The sequence below is a fragment of the Homo sapiens genome, chromosome X (assembly GCF_000001405.40).
Source record: "Homo sapiens chromosome X, GRCh38.p14 Primary Assembly".
In the NCBI taxonomy this organism is placed as follows: Eukaryota; Metazoa; Chordata; class Mammalia; order Primates; family Hominidae; genus Homo; species Homo sapiens.
Genome location: NC_000023.11, coordinates 71,095,232 through 71,112,795, shown reverse-complemented (window position 1 = coordinate 71,112,795; position 17,564 = coordinate 71,095,232). Strand labels below are relative to the sequence as shown.

At 51.0% G+C, this 17,564-nt stretch overlaps 3 protein-coding genes across 7 annotated transcripts, besides 5 other annotated features; 2 read left to right on the top strand and 1 right to left on the bottom strand.

Annotated features, from left to right (window-relative positions):
* Positions 559 to 1,758: an enhancer, noted in NCBI's record as "MED14-independent group 3 enhancer chrX:70330888-70332087 (GRCh37/hg19 assembly coordinates)". NCBI's record gives its function as "activates an origin of replication core promoter dependent on BRD2, BRD4, P300/CBP and CDK7 cofactors, and independent of MED14, by STARR-seq in HCT116 cells {active_cell/tissue: HCT116}" and the evidence as "EXISTENCE:reporter gene assay evidence [ECO:0000049][PMID:35650434]".
* Positions 1,067 to 1,456: an enhancer, noted in NCBI's record as "active region_29737". NCBI's record gives its function as "activates an Ori minimal core promoter by ATAC-STARR-seq in GM12878 lymphoblastoid cells {active_cell/tissue: GM12878}" and the evidence as "EXISTENCE:reporter gene assay evidence [ECO:0000049][PMID:35858748]".
* IL2RG (interleukin 2 receptor subunit gamma) lies at positions 1,219 to 5,392 on the top strand. Of its 2 annotated transcripts, NM_000206.3 has the most exons (8): positions 1,219 to 1,371; positions 1,746 to 1,899; positions 2,108 to 2,292; positions 2,501 to 2,640; positions 3,406 to 3,568; positions 4,101 to 4,197; positions 4,450 to 4,519; positions 4,875 to 5,392. In NM_000206.3, the coding sequence occupies exons 1-8, from the start codon at positions 1,257 to 1,259 to the stop codon at positions 5,058 to 5,060; spliced, it is 1,110 nt and encodes a 369-aa protein (NP_000197.1). In that variant the 5' UTR covers positions 1,219 to 1,256; the 3' UTR covers positions 5,061 to 5,392. The 2 variants fall into 2 exon arrangements, with proteins under 2 accessions (NP_000197.1, NP_001425799.1); NM_001438870.1 differs by lacking the exon at positions 4,101 to 4,197.
* On the top strand, positions 6,056 to 8,907 carry CXorf65 (chromosome X open reading frame 65). Of its 3 annotated transcripts, none has more exons than NR_033212.2 (6): positions 6,056 to 6,264; positions 6,370 to 6,437; positions 6,659 to 6,796; positions 7,959 to 8,027; positions 8,392 to 8,498; positions 8,684 to 8,907. NR_033212.2 is itself a non-coding variant. In NM_001025265.3 (6 exons), exons 1-6 carry the CDS (start codon positions 6,240 to 6,242, stop codon positions 8,807 to 8,809), a joined length of 552 nt encoding a protein of 183 aa, NP_001020436.1. In that variant the 5' UTR covers positions 6,056 to 6,239; the 3' UTR covers positions 8,810 to 8,907. The 3 variants fall into 3 exon arrangements, 2 of the variants coding, with proteins under 2 accessions (NP_001020436.1, XP_005262301.1); NM_001025265.3 differs by having other exon boundaries at positions 6,370 to 6,456; XM_005262244.5 differs by lacking the exon at positions 7,959 to 8,027 and having other exon boundaries at positions 6,370 to 6,456.
* On the bottom strand, positions 9,264 to 16,945 carry FOXO4 (forkhead box O4). Of its 2 annotated transcripts, NM_001170931.2 has the most exons (4): positions 16,097 to 16,945; positions 15,815 to 15,931; positions 11,056 to 12,112; positions 9,264 to 10,719 (listed from the first exon to the last, which is right to left on the bottom strand). In NM_001170931.2, exons 1-4 carry the CDS (start codon positions 16,265 to 16,267, stop codon positions 10,712 to 10,714), a joined length of 1,353 nt encoding a protein of 450 aa, NP_001164402.1. In that variant the 5' UTR covers positions 16,268 to 16,945; the 3' UTR covers positions 9,264 to 10,711. The 2 variants fall into 2 exon arrangements, with proteins under 2 accessions (NP_001164402.1, NP_005929.2); NM_005938.4 differs by having other exon boundaries at positions 15,815 to 16,945.
* Positions 11,428 to 11,477: an enhancer, noted in NCBI's record as "active region_29736". NCBI's record gives its function as "activates an Ori minimal core promoter by ATAC-STARR-seq in GM12878 lymphoblastoid cells {active_cell/tissue: GM12878}" and the evidence as "EXISTENCE:reporter gene assay evidence [ECO:0000049][PMID:35858748]".
* Positions 11,764 to 12,374: an enhancer, noted in NCBI's record as "H3K4me1 hESC enhancer chrX:70320272-70320882 (GRCh37/hg19 assembly coordinates)". NCBI's record gives its function as "activates a minimal SCP1, AML or CMV promoter by ChIP-STARR-seq in primed H9 embryonic stem cells {active_cell/tissue: H9 hESC(primed)}" and the evidence as "EXISTENCE:reporter gene assay evidence [ECO:0000049][PMID:30033119]".
* Positions 14,183 to 14,477: an enhancer, noted in NCBI's record as "tiled region #4327; K562 Activating DNase matched - State 5:Enh". NCBI's record gives its function as "activates a minimal TATA promoter and a strong SV40 promoter by Sharpr-MPRA in K562 cells {active_cell/tissue: K562}" and the evidence as "EXISTENCE:reporter gene assay evidence [ECO:0000049][PMID:27701403]".

The following is a 17,564-nucleotide window of genomic DNA, read 5'->3' as shown; positions in this document are numbered from 1 at the left end:
ACAGCCTTCACTAAACTATCCCCCTCTCCATCTTGGTAAATTTAGTTACTTCCTCTTCTGTGCTCACATACTTTGTAGTATCTCTACATTTATGCTATAGGACTTGTTACACTATGTTGTATTACTTGTTTATGTCTTCCCCACTTTTCTGTGAGTGTCTAGAAATATGAGGATGTCTTGTTGGTCTATTTCCAGAACATAAGCACAGTGCCTGGCACATATTAAAAACGTAATAAATGTTTGCTGAATAAATAGTTTCTGTAAGTGGCTTCTCCAATCACCTCTGTGTTTTCGGGGAAGGTAAAACTGGCAACAGGATGAAGAATGGATTAGAGAGCAGAGGGCCTTTAGAAAGGGAGGCCAGTTGATGGAGTCTAGATAGAATCATGACTAGAGCTAATGAAAGACTGATTTAGCAGAGTGGCTGTGGTAATGGAAAGGAGGAAACCGTTGGGAGAAACACCACAGAAGCAGAGTGGGTTATATTCTCTGGGTGAGAGAGGGGGAGAAATTGAAGCTGATTCTGAGGTTTCAAGTCTGGGTGACTGAGAGGGTGACGATACCATTGACTGAGGTGGGGAAGGCAGGAAGAGAAGCAGAGTTGGGGGAAGATGGGAAGCTTGAAGCTAGTATTGTTGTTCCTCCATTTCTAGAATATTTTTGTATTATAAGTCACACTTCCTCGCCAGTCTCAACAGGGACCCAGCTCAGGCAGCAGCTAAGGGTGGGTATTCTGGTTTGGATTAGATCAGAGGAAAGACAGCTGTATATGTGCCCACAGGAGCCAAGACGGTATTTTCCATCCTCCCAAAACAGTAGAGCTTTGACAGAGATTTAAGGGTGACCAAGTCAAGGAAGAGGCATGGCATAGAACGGTGATGTCGGGGGTGGGGGTTCAGAACTTCCATTATAGAAGGTAATGATTTAGAGGAGAAGGTGGTTGAGAATGGTGCTAGTGGTAGTGAACAGATCCTTCCCAGGATCTAGGTGGGCTGAGGATTTTTGAGTCTGTGACACTATTGTATATCCAGCTTTAGTTTCTGTTTACCACCTTACAGCAGCACCTAATCTCCTAGAGGACTTAGCCCGTGTCACACAGCACATATTTGCCACACCCTCTGTAAAGCCCTGGTTTATAAGGTTCTTTCCACCGGAAGCTATGACAGAGGAAACGTGTGGGTGGGGAGGGGTAGTGGGTGAGGGACCCAGGTTCCTGACACAGACAGACTACACCCAGGGAATGAAGAGCAAGCGCCATGTTGAAGCCATCATTACCATTCACATCCCTCTTATTCCTGCAGCTGCCCCTGCTGGGAGTGGGGCTGAACACGACAATTCTGACGCCCAATGGGAATGAAGACACCACAGCTGGTGGGAAATCTGGGACTGGAGGGGGCTGGTGAGAAGGGTGGCTGTGGGAAGGGGCCGTACAGAGATCTGGTGCCTGCCACTGGCCATTACAATCATGTGGGCAGAATTGAAAAGTGGAGTGGGAAGGGCAAGGGGGAGGGTTCCCTGCCTCACGCTACTTCTTCTTTCTTTCTTGTTTGTTTGTTTCTTTCTTTCTTTTGAGGCAGGGTCTCACTATGTTGCCTAGGCTGGTCTCAAACTCCTGGCCTCTAGTGATCCTCCTGCCTCAGCCTTTCAAAGCACCAGGATTACAGACATGAGCCACCGTGCTTGGCCTCCTCCTTCTGACCATCATTTCTCTTTCCCTCCCTGCCTTCATTTTCTCCCCAATCTAGATTTCTTCCTGACCACTATGCCCACTGACTCCCTCAGTGTTTCCACTCTGCCCCTCCCAGAGGTTCAGTGTTTTGTGTTCAATGTCGAGTACATGAATTGCACTTGGAACAGCAGCTCTGAGCCCCAGCCTACCAACCTCACTCTGCATTATTGGTATGAGAAGGGACGAGGGGGAGGGGATGAAGAAGAGGTGGGTTGGATCAGAGACCAAGAGAGAGGGTAGCAAGTCTCCCAGGTACCCCACTGTTTTCTCCTGGGGTAAGTCATAAGTCGGTTGAGGGGAGATGAGGCTAGGCTCTGGATATCTGCAGTACCCAGATTGGCCCCACTGTTCCTCTTCCTTCCAACCTTTCTCCTCTAGGTACAAGAACTCGGATAATGATAAAGTCCAGAAGTGCAGCCACTATCTATTCTCTGAAGAAATCACTTCTGGCTGTCAGTTGCAAAAAAAGGAGATCCACCTCTACCAAACATTTGTTGTTCAGCTCCAGGACCCACGGGAACCCAGGAGACAGGCCACACAGATGCTAAAACTGCAGAATCTGGGTAATTTGGAAAGAAAGGGTCAAGAGACCAGGGATACTGTGGGACATTGGAGTCTACAGAGTAGTGTTCTTTTATCATAAGGGTACATGGGCAGAAAAGAGGAGGTAGGGGATCATGATGGGAAGGGAGGAGGTATTAGGGGCACTACCTTCAGGATCCTGACTTGTCTAGGCCAGGGGAATGACCACATATGCACACATATCTCCAGTGATCCCCTGGGCTCCAGAGAACCTAACACTTCACAAACTGAGTGAATCCCAGCTAGAACTGAACTGGAACAACAGATTCTTGAACCACTGTTTGGAGCACTTGGTGCAGTACCGGACTGACTGGGACCACAGCTGGACTGTGAGTGACTAGGGACGTGAATGTAGCAGCTAAGGCCAAGAAAGTAGGGCTAAAGGATTCAACCAGACAGATAGAAGGACCTAATATCAAGCTCCTGTTCTCTGCCTCCCAGCTTCTCTGCTCACCCCCTACCCTCCCTCCTCCAACTCCTTTCCCCCCTATTTTCTCCAGTGAGTTTTCTTTTTTTCTTTTCTTTTCTTTCTTTCTTTCTTTTTTTTTTTTTTTTGAGACAGAGCCTCACTCTGTTGCCCAGGCTTGAGTGCAGTGGGGCGATCTTGGGCTCACTGCGACCTCTGTCTCCCTGGTTCAAGTGATTCTCCTGCTTCAGCCTCCCAAGTAGCTGGGAGCATGCACAACCATGCCTGGCTAATTTTTGTATTTTTAGTAAAGACAGGGTTTTGCCATGTTGGTCAGGCTGGTCTTGAACTCCTGACCTCAGGTGATCTGCCCACCTCGGCCTCCCAAAGTGCTGGGATTACAGGCGTGAGCCACCATTCCTGACACCAGTGAGTTTTCATTAGGGATTCCCTACCCATACTCTTCCTGATACCAGATAGACAAGTAAACAAAAGGAAGCCATTAAGGGGATCCAGAGGGGAGGCATTAGATTCAAGTCAGTGAAGGGAGCAGTGTGGCTTGAGTAGTCAAGAGATGAGAGAGAAACTGGGCAGTAGCAGAGATGACACTGGTGGGTGTTCAGGAGTATGTTTTAATTCTCCCTTCTCTCATAGACACCCACTTTCCCTCATCCTCTTTCTCCTCAAGGAACAATCAGTGGATTATAGACATAAGTTCTCCTTGCCTAGTGTGGATGGGCAGAAACGCTACACGTTTCGTGTTCGGAGCCGCTTTAACCCACTCTGTGGAAGTGCTCAGCATTGGAGTGAATGGAGCCACCCAATCCACTGGGGGAGCAATACTTCAAAAGGTAAAATGGGCCCACATGACCCAATCCATGAGCCCAACACCCCAGCCTTTCTAACACCACTGTCTTTTGCTCCACTTCCCTGTCACTAAAGCCCCTAAACTTGGTGCCCCATCTCTCCACACTGTCTAACCCCAACCTCTAGAAATCAAGGTTTTTCTGTGTAGGGTTGGGTTAGCGTGTTGTTAGAGTAGGGGAGTGGATTGAGAAGGAGGCTGAGGGGTACTCAAGGGGGCTATAGAATGTATAGGATTTCCCTGAAGCATTCCTAGAGAGCCTGCAAGGTGAAGATGGCTTTGGAACCAGCTGGATCTAGGCTGTGCCACATACTACCTCTTTGGCCTTGGCCACATCCCTAAACTCTTGGATTCTGTTTCCTAAGATGTAAGATGGAGGTAATTGTTCCTGCCTCACAGGAGCTGTTGTGAGGATTAAACAGAGAGTATGTCTTTAGCGCGGTGCCTGGCACCAGTGCCTGGCATGTAGTAGGGGCACAACAAATATAAGGTCCACTTTGCTTTTCTTTTTTCTATAGAGAATCCTTTCCTGTTTGCATTGGAAGCCGTGGTTATCTCTGTTGGCTCCATGGGATTGATTATCAGCCTTCTCTGTGTGTATTTCTGGCTGGAACGGTGAGATTTGGAGAAGCCCAGAAAAATGAGGGGAACGGTAGCTGACAATAGCAGAGGAGGGTTTTGCAGGGTCTTTAGGAGTAAAGGATGAGACAGTAAGTAATGAGAGATTACCCAAGAGGGTTTGGTGATGGAAGGAAGCCACAGGCACAGAGAACACAGAATCACTTTATTTCATATGGGACAACTGGGAGAAGGGTGATAAAAAAGCTTTAACCTATGTGCTCCTGCTCCCTCTTTCTCCCCTGTCAGGACGATGCCCCGAATTCCCACCCTGAAGAACCTAGAGGATCTTGTTACTGAATACCACGGGAACTTTTCGGTGAGAACGCTGTCATAAGCATGCTGCAGTCTATCAACTGCCAACTGCCTGCCAGCAAGACAGACAGAGTGTGGGGGTGGGGGCAGAGAGGAGAGGGAAGGAGGCCCTGCACTAACTGTCAGGATGTGGCCGACCAAATGGGGCATGGACTATACAGAGAGAGACACACACAGAAGTGCAGATTATAGATTGAATGAGGCAGATGGCAACTGGTATTGGGGGCCCAGGAGCCTGTGTATCCCTTCTGTAATCAATTACAGTGGTTGCAGACATCATGAGTACTCCTTTGGCACAGAGCTCGGTCTTTTACTTCCTGCCCCTAATTGACCCCTGACCTGGACATATCTGTCTTTAGGCCTGGAGTGGTGTGTCTAAGGGACTGGCTGAGAGTCTGCAGCCAGACTACAGTGAACGACTCTGCCTCGTCAGTGAGATTCCCCCAAAAGGAGGGGCCCTTGGGGAGGGGCCTGGGGCCTCCCCATGCAACCAGCATAGCCCCTACTGGGCCCCCCCATGTTACACCCTAAAGCCTGAAACCTGAACCCCAATCCTCTGACAGAAGAACCCCAGGGTCCTGTAGCCCTAAGTGGTACTAACTTTCCTTCATTCAACCCACCTGCGTCTCATACTCACCTCACCCCACTGTGGCTGATTTGGAATTTTGTGCCCCCATGTAAGCACCCCTTCATTTGGCATTCCCCACTTGAGAATTACCCTTTTGCCCCGAACATGTTTTTCTTCTCCCTCAGTCTGGCCCTTCCTTTTCGCAGGATTCTTCCTCCCTCCCTCTTTCCCTCCCTTCCTCTTTCCATCTACCCTCCGATTGTTCCTGAACCGATGAGAAATAAAGTTTCTGTTGATAATCATCAAAAATGTCTGTCATGGGGGTGGGGAGCAGGGGAAGCCTGGGATGCAATGAGGGTGGGAGGGGAAGAAAAAGGAGTAGTACATTCATGCTGTGGAGGCAGGAGTATTACCAATTTGCTAGAAAGAGTACTGTTCTGGAAACTGACTTTTTTCCAGGTGCCCTGCACTCATTCCAGGGTTTAGTTTAGAGTTAGACTTACAATGGGCTGGGCGTGGTGGCTCACGCCTGTAATCCCAGCACTTTGGGAGGCCAAAGCGGGTGGATCACGAGGTCAGGAGATCGAGACCAGCCTGGCCAACATGGTGAAACCCCGTCTCTACTAAAAATACAAAAATTAGCCAGGCGTGATGGTGTGCTCCTGTAATTCCAGCTACTTGGGAGGCTGAGGCAGGAGAATCGCTTGAACCCAGGAGGTAGAGGATGCAGTGAGCCAAGATTGTGCCACTGCACTCCAGCCTGGGCGACAGAGGGAGACTCCATCTAAAAAAATAAAAAAAATAAAAAAAGTTAGACTTACCATGTTGTCCCCCCTTTCCAACTAATCTTTAACATACCCCACCCAAGTTTTTCTCTCCTTACCCTTACTCCACTTTTTGGCCACACCTGCCACTTCTGACCTCATAATCCCTTAACTGCAGTCTCAGGCCCCACCCCTGGGGATACTGGTTATCCACAACTATCAACAGCTCTCTCCTGCCTGTCCAGCCTGGGCATCCTCAGCCTATGAAATCCATCTGCCTCTCTAGTCCACCAACCCTATAGGCCTATTTGCCCCACACAAGGCCTCTAGAACACCCTCCTTCTGCATGACTCATCAGGGCACTTTGTGAAGAGTGAGGCGATCTTGAGGGCATGTTCATCTTCATCAAACATGGAGGTGAGGGGCAGCACAGAACTAGAGTCTGTGGATGGGGGTGGAGGGATCTGAGGGCAGTGGAGATCACAGAAATGGGCCCATGTGTCCCATCCTATCTCTTCTCAGATAATCAGCAGTTTCTGGTCAATACCAACTGTGCTGTCGTCGTGTTGCTGTATTACATCCGCAGTAAAGTAAAGTTGCCTAAAACAAGTGAGGAGCTTAGGGAGGGGACTAATGGCCAAAGGTCAGAAGGAGTTGGGTCATCTCTAACCCCCAAGCCCTCCTCCTGGCAAGAAGGGAGTTCCTCATATCCTTAGAGCTTCCTCCAACCCATTTTGTATAGGATCACTGGCCCCTTTTGCTCCCACTCTCTTTCCTTAGCTGCCCCAATTACCCTGTGATCTCCCTCCAGACACCATCGATTTGTGTGAACAAACGGGGAAAATGAAGATGCTTTTCCTGATGAAGCCCAATCATGCAGAGTATGCCAGCAAATACCTTACAGCTCGAAGCACCTACTACGTTTGTAAGGTGGAACGTGGGCCACCAGGTAGAGGCTCAGGAGTGTTCCCCAGAAATAGAATAAGGCCTTCAAGATAGATTATGAACCTTATCTTTAAAACAAGGCATCCAAGGCTGGGCATAGTGGCTCATGCTTGTAATCTCAGCACTTTGAGAGGCCAAGGCGGGAGAATCGATAGAGGGCAGGAGTTTGAGACCAGCCTGGGCAACATAACAAGAGCCTGCCTCCAAAACCAAAACCAAAACCAAAAACAACCAAAACCAAATTAAAACAAAAAACAGAACACCCTCAAACAACAGAACACCCTCAACCAGATCCAAATTGACCATCTCTAGTCAGCCTAAGGAAGGGTACTGCCTCTATAATAATAGGTTACCTCACACATACTCTCCCCTAGGTCCATACCTAAGGGGAAGAAATATCCACCAGCTCAAGGTAGGTTTTTTTTTTTTTTTTTTTGGGACAGAGTTTCGCTCTTGTTGTCCAGTTGTCCAGGCTGGAGTGCAATGGCGCGATCTCAGCTCACTGCAACCTCTGCCTCCCAGGTTCAAGCGATTCTCCTGTCTTAGCCTCCTGAGTAGCTGGGACTACAGGCACCCGCCACCAGGCCCAACTAATTTTTTAGTGCAGATGGGGTTTCACCATGTTGGCCAAGCTGGTCTTGAACTCCTGACCTCAGGTGATCCACCCACCTCAGCCTCCCAAAGTGCTGGGATTACAGGCGTGAGCCACTGTGCCCGGCAAGGTAGTCTTTATTTTTATTTATTTATTTATTTTATTTTTTGTGATGGAGTCTTGCTCTGTCACCCAGGCTGAAACAGTGGCATGATCTTGGCTCACTGCAACCTCTGCCTCCTGGGTTCAAGTGATTCTCCTGCCTCAGCCTCCGGAGTAGCTGGGATTACAGGCGCCCACCACCATGCCCAGCTAATTTTTTTTGTTTGTTTGTATTTTTGGTAGAGATGGGGTTTCACCAAATTGGCCAGGCTAGTCTCGAATTGGCCAGGCTAGTCTGGAACTCCTGACCTCAAGTGATCCGCCCACCTTGGCCTCCCAAAATGCTGGGATTACAGGCGTGAGCCACCGCATCTGGCGGGTAGTCTTTAGTGTTAGGTCCTGGAATCTTGGACTTCTGAAGGGTGGAGACTGGATGACAGGGGCTGGAGATAGCACATGGCTATGTTCACAGGAACCAGGCTGGAGAATGCTTACAGAGCTTTTGTGCCTCTCCTCAAGAATCCGGAGCCTTGGCTGCTTGGTAAGAAGTGAGATGGGGGAGGGAAGAACATGAAGGGTACAGTATATAGCTGTGTGATGGAGAATGTAGGGTGGGACTAGCGTGATATGGTAGGTCAGATGATAGGAGCCTAGGAAAAGGCGGGCAGGGTCCAGGTCCACTTTAGGAGGGACGTTTAGCTCACACCAGGTGGAATGTGCATGCGTTACTCCCCACTTCCCCCATTTCTTGGCCATCTTCTCCGTATATCTCCCTGTCACCATTCCATCATTTCCATCTTAGGCCAAGTGGGGCTCCAGCTGATGGTTTGAACAATGAATGGGAGCATCAGGAAGGGTAAGGTCTCTAGTTCTCAGAGGTGCAGGTGCCTTTTCCTTGTTCTTAGTTGCACTGCGCATACAATGTGATGCCCTGGAGAGGAGACGAATTCAGATGCTTAAAATGAAAGAAGCCAAGAAGGTCGTTATAATTGAACCCCCTGCGAGTGTCCCGGTAAGACTTGCCAAATGTGATCTGCCCCAGCACCCCCCTCTCCCTACCAGCCGACTGAATGTTCCTACACCCCAGCCCTCTGAGATGAATTTCCTGCCTCCAATTTCTTTTTTCCTTCCTTTGGCCCTGGGTTGTAGAAACCTTCCCTGCAGGGGCCTCTTTGTTTACTTACTTTCTTTTTCTAGTCCAAGCAATCAGGACGATCAGACAAAAAGAAGTCCACTCGCAAGTCTCCGACCTTTAGGAACAGACCAGACTTCAGGAAGAATAAAGGTCGCCAACTCAATAAAACCACCAAGCAAAAGAAGTAATACTAGGTGTGAAATTACTGGAATTTAACGTGAGATTTCTTTTTCTAGAAAGACTCCTTCTCCCAATATCTGCACTAAGGCTTGAGTACATACGCCCCAGGCACCTAGGAGGCTCTGAGGGTGGATGGGAGCGGCAGGAGAGGGCTGGGGCAAGCACATGGGTGGGGGTGAGGAAGGCTGTGAAGTCTAGTACAATGAGCCTTTGAGGAACGGAGTAGGGGGTGGGGTCTTCTCAAACCAGACTACCTCCCCTTGGGAGGCCTATCTCACAGCCCGCCTACTCCTGCAGGGGTTAGGTGTCCCTCCACCCCCACACTCCACCACCTCCCCGGGGTGAAATTCCCCCACCCTCCTCCATGTCTCTGCCTTTGGGCAGTTTCTTCCTCCCGCCCTTTGCCTTTTCCCCTCCCTCCCCCTTATCCAAGGGGAGAAGCAAGGCAGCAGAAACCAGAGCTGGTTATAGGCATTTATTGAATTTATTCATTTATTGATTTGACACACTTCCCCACTCCAATCTAGCACATGATACAATCTGGGTAGGCCAGGCGCTGACACAGGAAATGATGGGAACCCACAGCAGGGGTGGGGGAGGGGACGATGCAAAGGGCACTGGGGGAAGGGCTGCTTTGGGGGCTGGGGTGGAGAAGGAGCCCCAGATGGCCTCCCTGGCAGGTGCTAGTAAACCTGATCCACATCCCCCCCCATCCCTGCTCATTTCCCAGACCCTCAGCCAAGCTCCCCAGCTCCCCCTTCCCTGTTCCTCCCCTCCCCGCTGCCTGCTGCCACACACACTTCCACATAACCCCTGCAGTCAGGGAAGGGGAAGAAGGGCAGGGACAGCTGTCAGGGGCCTTGAACAGGGAGGTCTCTGTACCTAACTTTACCATCCTAAATCCTTCCCTCCTTCTCTTCTCTCCCCTCCCAGTCCCTTCCCTGGCCCCAAGCTAATTCCAGGCCTTCAATGTACTCTCCCACCATAGCACTAACCCATGCTGGGTCATAGAAGAGTGTGGCTGCACCCTAACACCACACACTCCCAGGCACAAGTTGAAGGAATGAGGGGACCTGGGTTAGCTTTTTTGTTAGGGAAACTCTAACCTATTTCTGCATAGACCTTTCTCTATACCTGGTCCGTAGGGGAGCTCTTCCCTGTGTTTACTATTACTCCCCACCTCTCCCCACTTCCCTGTGTCTCCTAATATTTATTGTCTGTAGTGTTTGTATCATGTCACTATCACAAAGCCTTCAGAAAGAAAAAAAAGCATTCTGCCCACCACTAGCACCCTGCCATGGTTAAAAAATCTCTATATTTGTGTTTATATTTCTTTAAAAGTTTATAAAAAGCCTTTCTGTTATCTGCAGCCTTCTAAGGGTGATTTGGCCTGGCGAGCCACTCCAGTGCTCAGACCTTGGCCCTTCCAGATCCCCTAAACAGCCCACCCACCGCACATCACTGGCCTAAGGGGCCACTGCATAGAAATCCCAGGCTCCAGCTAGCCTGGCTCAGCTCAGATAAGACTCTCTACAAAAAAATCCTGCTCCCAAAGGCAGGGGTAAGGCCACTGGTGACTTCACATTTCCAACAGCATTGCTCATCTTGCTACAAAGCCTAAGTGGGTAGGAATGGGGAAAGCCGATGATGGCTCCTGAGAGGGGGCCTTACCCCCTAATTGGCACAGTGAGAAAAACCCTCTCCCCTTTCCCCTCCCATCTCCCTCCCCATATCGTCCCCAGATGGGGCAGCTTTATCTTTATAATTTCTTCAACACCTGTGTGTGACCAGACCCCACCCTAGCTCTAAAGCAGGGTCCCAAATTCCTGGGGAGGGCTCAAGGGTAAAGAGTAGATATGAACACGCCTGGCTCCACATCTGAAGCAGGGGACAAAGCTTCCAGGCATGACTCAGGGATCTGTGGGAAGAAGAAACAGAGAACAAGGTAAGAGGCTTACCTGGGGCTTGCCAACATTCTATCATCCAGATTCCCACCAAAGAAGATGGTGGCACCTAACCCGCTTCCATACACATACCTTTTCTGTGCTACCTTGCAGGGCTGGGCACAGCTAAGGGGCCTGGAGGTCCCATCCGGAAACTATGCTACTGTAATATGACATCTTCCCTCCAGTTCCCCAGGAGCTCTGGCTACCACTTGTCCTAAATCTCCCCTTCGCCCAGATCATGGGACTAGCTGGGCACCTAGGAGTGGTAATAGGCTATGAGGTGCTGTGGTGATTAGGGGGTACTGTACCTGGCTCAAAGTTGAAGTCCAGTCCCTCGCCCTCATCCATGAGGTCACTGATGATGTTATCCATGTCACACTCCAGGTTCTCCATATACATATCAAGATCTAGATCCTGAGGCATTCTGTCTTGGCTTGCAGCTTCAGTAGGGGGTGTGAGCACAGGAGTCCCCAGAGCCTTGGGGATGGGGGCACTTGCCATGACTGGAGGTGGTGCTATCATAGAAAGGGTGGGAACCAGACTGCTGGGGCCTGGAGCCTCTAGGGGCTTGGGACACAGGCCGACGCCCGTGGCCAGCTTACTGGAGGAAGGAAGCCCCCCCAGCAACAGAAGAGTCGGAGCCTGGGACAGAATGGGATCTACCTGGGTCATGAGGACGTCAGCAGGGGGTGGTGGCGTATCAGAGGTGAGCAGGGCCTCCAGAGCCTGGGAGCTGGAGAAGCACCCTTCTCCTGCTGACAGGGGCCCCTCTGCTGGGCTGAAAAGGGAGCTGCTGTAGGTGTGTAAGGGGCCGGTAACCCCAGGATGCTGCAAAGAGAAGCCAGAGAGACCACTCCGAGATAGCAGGGAATGGGAAGAGGTGAGATTGAGCCCATCTAACAGCTCTAGACCTTCATTGAGGGTGGGAGGGACACCCCCTGCATAACTGCTGACTGAAGCTGGTATTTCCTCCGCCAGCACCTCAGACTCTGGCCTCAAGGGGGACAGCCGGGTGCTGACACTGCTGGCATTTGAACTGCTTCGTGGACGGAAGGTGGTCCACATATCGGCTTCTTCACGGTTTCGAGAGCAAGGGCTGCCTGACCACTTGGCAAAGTGGCCGACAGGGCTCGTTGGAGTGGCACCTTCGGGTGGAGCTGGCAGCACAGATGGTTTCTTCTTGGGGGCTTTACTGCGGCCCCGGAGCAGCTTGCTGCTGCTATCCATGGAGGCGGCCCGGCGGCGGGGGGCTTTGCCGCTCTTGCCTCCCTCAGGGTTCAGCATCCACCAAGAGCTTTTGCCGGTGGCCTCGTTGTGAACCTTGATGAACTTGCTGTGCAGGGACAGGTTGTGGCGGATCGAGTTCTGGAGGGGCAGAGATGGCAGGAAAGGGGCGTGAGGTACTGTAGGGGAGGTCAGTGGCCAGCGGTCAAGTCTAAGAGGATGCTGGACCCTGATGATCTAGGGTTTAGGATTTGGTGCCACCACCGCAGCAGGGTTCATTTCGGGGCTTCATTTCCCAGGTCATTAAAGTTTAAGAAAAACTTTAAATAATTTACAAAAAAAGAGAAAAAGATAAAAGATAAAAGGGTGCTGGAACACAGCAGGGGTATTCCTGGAGACTCAAAGAAAGTTGAATCCAGGGGGGAAAACTGGTAGAAGTAGGGGTGGGGGTGGGGTGTGAGGGGAGACCACACACATTTCCCGCTCCCAGACAAGCTGCTCAGCCTCTGCTCCAGACTTCTCTGTACAGCGGGTGGGAGATAACGTGTAATAATCCACTGCAGAGAGCACGGGGGATGCCCACCCTGGAAAAGCTCCTGGTACTCTGCTCTTCCCAGGGCTTCGTGTGTGTTTTGCGGGGGGTGGGGGGAGCGGTACCTGGGGCTGGTGGGCACTGGGGAGACGTGCTCCTTGCCCAGCAAGAACTAGGTTCAGGTGGGAAAGAGCATTGCACCCCTTTCCTTGAGTGCAGGTTTGGGTAGAGTTTACGGGACAGTGGTACAGCACCAGCCCAGGATGGACCCGCCCTGCCCAGAGCCAGTTCTCTGAATAGGCTGAAGGGCTGGAATCTCAGCACAGCAGGTGCTCCATTCCCCACAGAGCATTTGGGCCACCCAGCTCTCTATAGAATTTAAAGATTCCTTTTTCCCCCCTCCCTGAATCCCAGCCTTATTTCTTCCAATCCACAACACACATCCTCAACTACATTCAGTTCAGGTTCAGGCTTCCTGCTGTGCCTCAAATGCGTGAGGTGCAATCTTCCCCTCCCCTCTTTTCCGAGGAGGGATCTCCCCTCTCTAAGTTTTACTAGTTCCGTCAAGACCAAGCTTCAGTTCCACCTCTTTTATAAAGCGGCTGCTTGACTTTGGCAGCCAAATTTCTAGTATAGTATTTTTAAAATCTGCGCCACACAATTTCACCCAATTTATATTGTGTGGCTTATGGTTTCATGTAATTCGTCTCATCGAGTGTAAGTGCCAAGTGTAATGTCCTCCAGTCCCACATCCCCCATCAAAGCCCTCCCAGAGCACCAAGCTCACAGCACATATTCTATACCTACTCAAGCTCACAGTACATAATCAATATTTGTACCTGATTGGTGGGTTGCCCCTGGGTTGACAATGGTGAGGCTCCCCTTGAGGCTCTGCCAGCTCTTCAGTGCCTTGGGTATTGGAAGCTGTATGTTTTCCCTTCCTCCCTCACTGGTGACATTCTACTAGGGAAACGATGCTTTCCAGTGGCCCAGGGAGCTGAGATTGGCAGCTTCTTCAGCCCCCAGTGCAGCTTATATTTACTGATTGCCGCGGGGCAGGCTAGTTACACAAGGGGTTTGGCCCTCCCCTGGCCACCCCCCTTCCCGAAACCTGCCTTCTTTTCCCTACCTCCTTCCCAGTGCCTTTCCCCCATTTCTCAGGAATTTGTGCATAAACTCTTCAACCTTGGGGGCATTTGACCTCCCACTTGGAGGTCTTTAGTTTAGAAATTCAGGAGGAGCCCAGAAGTGCTTAGAGCAACTAGGAGGCTGAGTACATGGGACGGTCAGAAACTACTTGTTTCTCTGACTGGTGCTCTTAAGATAAGGAGCACCTTTGCCTGGGGAATGATGCTTCTTGTTCCAGGGTTCTTTAGCCAAAGAACTCCTTGTGTTCCTGGGACCCTGAGGTAATGGCATTTCAACTGTGCTGATGTTCCTTCAAGGAGTGGCACTTGTCCATCCGGCCTCACCTCATAGTAACTAAGGACCACAATGACCATGACCTGGCACTATGATTTCTCCTCTTTTTATCCTCTAATTCTGGATCTACTTGAGAAGATCCATTCCTTTCCCTACTACTTAATAGCCACAAGGCCCGTTTGTCTCCTCTTCTTTAGGCCTTGGAACTAGCAAGTGGTACACAGACTCTTAATTGGAGAGGTCAGTTTCCCAAAAGCCCATAACTCTTACATGTTGGAGGGCAGGGTGGTGGGGGTGACTGCTAATTGCTCCCTAAGCCACCTAATCTAAACTTTCTTGTTCTAAGTGAGTGCCGCCCCCTGGTGGGGTGGGAGTAACCTTGGCATATCATCAGGGAGGCCAGTTCAGGCATGAGACTTCCCCTCAGAGAGGGGTGGGGGGGCCTTGAAGTCCCAGGCTCAGCCTGATTTGACTTTGCCCTCATTCCAATTAGAGCAAGCCAGGCTCTTTTTAGAGAATATGATTTATAGTTAGACCTGAGTTCAAGTCCTCACCCTGCTGTTATTAGGTGAATTTCCTAACCTTTTGGTACCTAGTTTCCTAATGTGTAAAATGTGGAATCTCAGAATTGCTGTAAAGATTAATAAAATAAAAACTTTAAAAACTACTTTGTAAACTCTAAAGCCCCACAGAAGTGTAGATTATAAGGACGGACTATACTCCCACAATATAACTAACAACTTGTTATTTCCTCTACCCTGGAAAATGAACCTAAGGGAAAAGAAAAACAGCTGTGTAGGCTGGGTCCAAGGAGGGGAGCTTTTTATGAGCTGAGACTGTGGCGTGGCAGTCTACCCAGAAATAGTGCCAAGGGTCTCAGTCAGCTGTCCTATCTTCTGTTCTGCCCAGCCCCTAGGGATAGCACAGATCTGATCCCTCAGTCTCCTATACCTAGGGGAAGTTCCTCTGCTCATCCAACCTTCTGTACTTGGTTATATGCTGACCTCACCACCTAGAGAGGTACAAGCCAGCAATAGGGCTTGAGGCTCCCCAATTTTGTGATTACAGCCCCATATTTTCTCAGGACAAGTTTTTCAGAGTATCCTTTGAGATATTCTCTCACAGTTTCTTCACAGAAGGCCAAGAGAACTCCCAACTTTGTGCTCTAAAGTCAGAGCCCTACCTCCTTCTTCATGACTAATATTCCTTAACAGTAAAGGATGACTTCCCCCCAAAACTTGGATAGCCCCTTACAAGGGAGAGTTTCTTGGCAGCACAGGGTAAGCTGAGCCAAGTGGCAGCTCACAGCCCTTTTTCTTCTTAGTGCATGAGATCAGCTACCTTTCCCCATGAATATTATTGTTTTTACCCTTTGCCACTGCACTCCCTCCTCCTGGGTAGAGCAGTGCTAGAACAGTACCACTACACTGAGGTACTGGGAGGCAAGCAGGGAATCCAAGTAATCCCACAGGAATGGGAGAAAAGGTGTTGGGGTGGGAGGTGGGGGAGGAGGGAAGGGTAGGTTCATGTGGGGAATCCACACAGTTCCTGCTGTACATAGGATAAAGACTTCTCTGTGGGAATAAGTGTTTGGGGCAGCCCAAGCCAAAGTGCTGCGAATATTGAGCAGTGAGCAGAGAATTCAATTTTCTCCAGGGCAGGGACAGTGTCTTATTCATCTGTGATCCTTCAGCATCAAGCACCGAGTGTGGCATATACTATGTACTAAGTAAATGTTTGTCTAACTGGAGATTGAAGGTGGATCTCTGGGCTTCCCAAAGGGGGTGGGGGTGGGAGGTAGTAAAAGGGGCCCCAGAGTAGAAGTAAGGGAGGCTAGGGGGTCCAGGGGGTAGATGGTGTTGGGAAGAAGGTAAGAGGGTCATAATTACCTTCCATCCTGCTGAGCTGTTGCTGTCACCCTTGTCCTTGAAGTAGGGTACAGTACGGACCATCCACTCGTAGATCTGGGCAAGTGTCAGTCGCTTCTCCGGGGCGCTTTCAATGGCCTGGCTGATGAGTTCTGCATATGACTGATTTCCCCAGGCATTCCGGCGGGAGCCTCCCTTCCGAGGACCTGTTACAGCCCCCAGGATTCCGGGCTGGGGGCCCCCGGCCGGCTCTGGGAGCCGAGAGGGCAACAGGATCGGCTCTGAGCGCCCCTCCGTGTGTACCTTTTCCCCCAGATCTGGCTCCACCTCGGGCGGCTCGGACGGCTGGTTAGCGATCTCTGGTCGGGGAAGGGGCCAGGTGCAGGAGCGGGGACGGCTCTGGGGTTCGAAGTCGGGATCTAGGTCTATGATCGCGGCAGCCTCTGTGGCTGAATTCTCATTCCCCGGATCCATACGTGGAGTTGGACCTCCCCGGCTCAGCGTTCAGTGAAGCCTGCCACAGTCCCTCACGATGCCTCCCCTCAGGGGGGAAGCATCGAGGGCCAGGAGGCACATTCCTGCCAGTCTTCAGAAAGTCGCGAACTTCCCCCTAGTCCCAGGACGCTAGTCCCTAAGCTGTCCCTTCACACAGTTCTCCGATCCCCTTCCCGACTACAGCCTGTAGCCTCAAAGCTCTTTCTGAGATGCCACCTGTAACCTCTGCCGAGCGAAGACACTTTTTCTGCAACCTCTCACTCAGCTTCCTGCTCTTTTAAACCTGAGGCACTGTATCCCCTCATATATTGCGCTCCCATCACCGAACGTCTCCTTAGCCGCAGTTCCCTCCCCCTTTTAAGTTGCTGCCCCCCGGACACTCCTCCCAAATTTCCTCCACCCGGATTGCTGCCCTCCCCCACGCCCCGCTCCCCCGCGTCACTTGCCCCTCCCCTGACTCCCCCTTCCCCCGCCTCTTCCCTTCTCGCCACTCTTACTAGGGTCCGGGTCCCCGCGGCTGCGGCCTCCCTTATTCCCGCACCGATTCCCCTATCAACCCCCCCCACCCCCCGCCCCCCGGGTTTCCCTTTTGTTTTGCTCCAAGCAGCAGCCCCCTCCTGACGTCTCTGTTTACCACTCGCCGGGGCAGCCATCTGCGCACGCGCCTCGAAAGCCAGTCGGGAAACCGAGTTCTGCAGTCGTGCCACCCTGGTCACTCTTGAGGACTACATCTCCCGTCCTGCTTCGCGGCCAGGAGCCCGATACGGCGGCAGGAGAGCGGCGTGGCAGGATATAACGAGGTGGAACTTTAATTATTAGAAGTCGTCGCGGACTCTTTCTTTTCTTAAGAATCGTTTTTCGCCCTTTCCCCCTTTCCATTGTCTCCCTTGTGATTCAGAGTCGTGTAGGTGACCAGATTGAGAGGTGCTAGCCCTTTCCCTCCTTCATTTAGGAGACGGCAAAAGGGAAAAAATTATTCTCTTAAAGATGCAGGAGACCAAGAAGCAAGAAGCAAGGAACTGACTAGAAAATAGGATGTATGCACGTTGGAGAGTTGGGTGGGGGGCTTGTGTAACATAAACAAATGGTTAGCCCACGGTGGTGTTCCTCCTCACCCCCTTCCTCCTCCCTCCACCCGCCTTCATCCCCCCATATGCAGTTCCCACTGACAGTGAGGTCTCACTTACCAATCAGTTTCCTCCACTGGCTCTTCTGGCTTTCCCTTCAACACCGATATTCTCCAGGTTCACATCTCCAACGGCTTCACTTCTCATTC